Source organism: Homo sapiens, chromosome 2 (assembly GCF_000001405.40).
Source record: "Homo sapiens chromosome 2, GRCh38.p14 Primary Assembly".
In the NCBI taxonomy this organism is placed as follows: Eukaryota; Metazoa; Chordata; class Mammalia; order Primates; family Hominidae; genus Homo; species Homo sapiens.
In genome coordinates, this window is record NC_000002.12 from 236,791,748 (window position 1) to 236,796,738 (window position 4,991).

General features: G+C 48.9%; 1 annotated feature.

Moving 5' to 3' along the window:
* Positions 1,163-1,890: an enhancer, noted in NCBI's record as "H3K4me1 hESC enhancer chr2:237701553-237702280 (GRCh37/hg19 assembly coordinates)". NCBI's record gives its function as "activates a minimal SCP1, AML or CMV promoter by ChIP-STARR-seq in primed H9 embryonic stem cells {active_cell/tissue: H9 hESC(primed)}" and the evidence as "EXISTENCE:reporter gene assay evidence [ECO:0000049][PMID:30033119]".

Consider the following 4,991-nt stretch of genomic DNA (forward strand, 5'->3'; position numbering starts at 1 on the left):
CAAACCTGTTTCACTGAAAAAGGATGTTTCCTGGATCCTGGTGCAATTGGCACTAAGGCCATACTTGTGGTTGATGTTGCTAATGATCACCGGTCACAGGATAAAATTTTGATAGTTTATTTTCTATGTCTTATGTAAAAATGCACAGTAATGAGCTGGTTGTTTCAAAATTCCAGCTTTAATTGTGTGTTACATTCATAAAAGTTTTAGTCTGGATGTATCAGGTGACATCCCTTTCATGGCTTGGGCAAAAGCCTCAAGGTGAAGTGAAGATTTCAAGCTGGGCCGGGCGTGGTGGCTCACGCCTGTAATCCCAGCACTTTGGGAGGCCAAGGTGAGCGGATCACCTGAGGTCAGGAGTTTGAGACCAGCCTGGCCAACATGGTGAAACCCTGTCTCTACTAAAAATACAAAAAAATTAGCCCAGCATGGTGGCAGACACCTGTAATCCTAGCTACTTGGGAGGCTGAGGCACAAGAATCGCTTGAACCTGGGAGGGGGAGGTTGTAGTGAGCCAAGACCACGCCATTGCACTGCAGCCTGGGCAACAAGAATGAGACTACATCTCAAAAAAAAAAAAAAAAAGATTTCAAGCTGGCTGGCAGGAGGGAGCTCAGACCTGGGGGATGATGTGGGGAACAGTTGAGTACCTGCTATCACACAGGGCAGGGCCAGCTATCCATTCGCAAGTTTTACTCTTTTCAGGCTGGTTCTGGCTGGTGTCCATGACCGTGGGATGTACCTGACCCACAGTCTGCAGGCAGAACTTGGTATGGAGTCACAATTCCAGAGACATCCAACTGGAGCCCCCAACACATGGGGTTCAGAACCTTGGGTGGGACCCAAAGAGACTGGAGGTGGAAGTCAAGAAGGAAGATGCCAAGCAGGAGCGTCTTAGTCATTTGGGCTCTCATAACAAAGTACCATCAACTGAGGCTTAGAAACAATAGAACTTTATTTTCCACAGTTCTGGAGACTGAGAAGTCCAAGATCAAGACACTGCAGAGTGCATGTCTGGTGAGGGACCCTCCCTGGTTCACAGATGGCAATTTTCTCATTGTGTACTTACATGGTGGATGGGGTGTGGGAACTCTCTGGGGTCCCTTTAATAAGGGCACTAATCCCATTCACGAGGGCTCCACCTTCTTGACCTCATTGCCTCTCAAAGGCTCCACTCCTAATACCATCATGTTGGTGATATTCAATAAGTGAATTTTAGGGGGACACAGACATTCAGACCAGGCATCTTGGATATCTAGGTAGCTGAGGACTGGTTAGTACTGTGTACAAATCATCAATAAGGGCAAAGGAGCTGGAGAGGACAAAATCCATATCTCATTCAGGATCGGCACTTTTACCAAAGCACCAAGAGTTGAAGGGACCGAGACAGAGTGAGGAGAGGCCCGTCGGTGTTTACAGAGGCCCCTGTTCCCTCCCCCGGGGTCTATAGAAATGCAGCAATACTGTGACCAGAGAAACAGCGCAAGCCGGGGCGGGGAAATCACAAGCTGTGGAACTGCGCTGGCAGCTCCAGGTCGTGAGCCCAGACAGGGCCTCAGCTCCAGGTCGTGAGCCCAGACAGGGCCTCAGCTCCAGGTCGTGAGCCCAGACAGGGCCTCTCGTGAGCATCGCCTCTAACTCCCATGGCCACCCTCGCACCCAATGGCCTGGCTGAAACGGGGCCCCAAGGAGCCTGGGGAAGTCATGCTCTTTCCCTGCCTTGCATTTCAGCACTGCTGGCGCTGGAGAACTTTTGCCCCCTCCACTCAGCCAGACAGGAAAAGCACCCCCGGCCTGGGGTCGTTGATCCTATATTTTCCAGAAAACTAGCAAGCGAGATTGCCTTTTCTCAAATGCAGATCACAGGGGGATGTGGGGAGGGGAGGGGCAGGCACAAGGCTGGAGAACCACAAGGAGCCCCTGAAAGCACCGCCCAGGACGCTTCTCTGGAGAGAAGCCCGAGGAACGCAGAGCTGCTTTGAATTAGCCCAGAACCGGGCGGGACGACCTCAGAAGGCAAAACAGGAGGCGCCCCGTGCACATATGGACCCAGGCACCGACTGTTTACCTGCCGATTCTCTTCTAAACTCTTGGCAATAAGGACAGAGCTCAGTTTGGTGCTGCCATCTGAGTGCTGGCTGACTCTGGCTCGGCCGCCCTCCCTTGGCCGCGAAGGTCCCCACGAGCTCCGGGTTGCAGTTATCCCTGCAAAGCTTGCCAGCTCTGGCCCATAAAAGCCTCTCTGCAAAGCAGAGGAATAGGCCCATTTTGTTCTGAAATACTAGTATGGATTTTTTATCTTAAAGTGAGAAAAAAAAAAAAAAACTTTAGGAGCAGGGAAATAAACTTTTAACCATTTCAATCAATCATAAAATTACAGTTTATTTTCCCCACCCTCTCCCAAGTAAATTAAATTCAATGAAACAATAGGTTCAAGTTACAACTAACATTTAGGCAAAGCAGGTTTTTAGTGAATTTGTCGAGTGAGCAGATGACTCATAGCAATCACAGCTCAGTCAACAGCTTCGAAGCAGCTTGAGCACGCAGAGCGCAACGGTGTAAAGCAAAATCTGTTGCCTTTGAACGGTTTTAAACGAAGCCGTGAGAAAACAAACACATTTCGTGGATTTTTTCTTTTTCTTTTTTAAGTCTGAGGCATCTGCAATGTGGAATTCTTTGCAGTAATTAAGATTTGTGGATGGGTGAATTTTAGAAATATGAGTCCTTCAAGATGTTTTGTTGGAAATGTGGGAAAGGGGTCATTGCTGATAATTGTGTGATGAAACAGAATTATGAGCTCCTCTGGGCCAGGCTGCTCTTCTCTGAAGCTTTCTAATGCCGTTGTAAACCTCTGGGAAAGCTTTCTGGATTATTCTCTCACCACAAGCACCCACAAGACAAACCGGACAAGCTGTTAAGCACAGACGGAAGTTGCAGAAAAGTTTAACACTGCCAGGGAGTGTGTCTCCAGATGCACCAAGCTTGAGTGTGGCTGGCCCCACCTGGCTCATGTGCCCCTTGGCAGGCTGCTTCCCATCACGTTGTCCACAACACATGCACCTGGGTTTGATGTTAGACTCAAGAAAAGATCTATTTTCTTGCTTCCAACACCTCCCCTTGGTGACTCCCTTGGGCCCTCATCCTCCTCTCCATTGTTACATCTCAATGAGCAGAACCAGGACATGAAGAGTTGTTCTCCAGTTGGCCGCCTTTTCCCTCTTCCTTGGGCTCCATCCCACCCGGTCGTGAAGGTACTGTGGAATCACGACTGCTGACAGCCTCCCTCTGGCCACGCCACCCATCTCCTCCATACTTGGACACACTTGCTTCATCATCTCTCTGGAGCCCAGTGAGGCTTCACTCACCACCTGCTTTGCCTCCATCAACTTGAAGCCCTCCTGCCTCCTCACCTTGGAACTGCTCCCCACGGGGAGCCCATCCTCGGAGCCTTGCTTCCATGGGAAGGTGACTGTCTCTCCAAACGTCAGCCCATTTCAAGACTGGAGATGATGTTGCAGACACAGAGCTGGTCTTGGGAGCACCCGTAAGAGACATATGCGCAGAGCTTCCCGAGGCACACCCACTTGGCACACCAGTGGTTTGTGCCTATGCAGGGTTTAAAGAAATGGAGTTTGGAGAATTGGGCCAAAACCACAAATGGAATCAGCCCTTTCTGATGAAATCATCTGATTTTCTCAGAAAGCTGCTGGAGGTGATGGAAACTTGGAAAGATGTCGGTGGCTTTTGAGACATGGGATTTGACAAGGGAACTGCATCCAACAGTTTGTCAGAGGAGTTCCGAGGTGGCTCCTCTGAGAACACCTATTTTGTTCTTTCCCTTCTCCATGATATGAGTAAGTCCCTCGAGTTATAAATAGCTCTTGTTGCAGCTCAGGAGGGTGATAAACTGTGATTGGAATGAGATGTCGGTGCGGAGATGGGCCCAGAGGAGTGGGATGAGAGGCAGAAGTGAGGACCAGTAGGTAAAGCCCATGAAGCATGGTGGACAGGGCTGGGCTAAGGATCAGGGCACTGTGGCAAAGGTCTCTGTGAACTGATTTAAGTGTCCAGGTATGCAGGCAAATCCCAAGACCAAGAGCAGACAAGACAGGGGAGCCCCCAAATAAGCTTGGTTGGCTCAGATGGCTCACGCCCCCTCCTCTGGGCCAGGGATGGGCCCTGGGGCCAGAGGTGGATGCAGCCCAGGGGAAGATGAAGGCTGCGGCTGAGAAGCAGGGTCACGCATCCAGAAACACGTGGCCTGTCTCTGGATCTAAATCTGAGCACATTGTCAAGTCACAGGTCAGAGTCCAGGACCAGGGACTGCAAGCCCAGATTGGACGGATGCGTGCACCAGAAACAGCGGTGACAGGGCCCAAGGGGTGGGCTCCTGGAAACCTTGGGGGTGAGACCGCTCCATTTCCACTCTGCTTTAGTTGTTCATTTCACAGTCCCAATTTCTGTATTCTTGTAGAAAAGAACGCACTAAGAGATTGCCAAATGCTTTGCTAAAATATATGCATAACTTTATTCCATTCCTATTTTCTAGTCTAGTTCTCCTTTTCTTAGTTTTTAAAGACTATTTCATTATTTAAACAAAGTTATTCTCTGAAGATTGATACTGGCATTGAGTGATCCTCATGTCCATCCATGAGCACAGCCATCTGCTTGGTCGTCTGTTCTAAATGCTGTGTTGTGGTGTGGCAGAACGAAAGCAGAGTGCAGTACACACAACTGTGCTTTAAAAATCATGCATTTACCACCAACTGTAGGGACTATATCAAAATGTCAACTGTTGGCTTTAGGTGCTAGAACACTTAGGCAAGTTCTTTTTCCTGCCTTCCTGTCTTCCTCCTCCTTCCTTCCTTCTTCTTTCTCTCTCTTTTCTTTCTCTTTTTTCTTTCTTTCTTTCTTTCTTTCTTTCTTTCTTTCTTTCTTTCTTTCTTTCCTTCTTTCTTTCTTTTTCTCTCTTTTTCTTCCTTCTTTCTTTC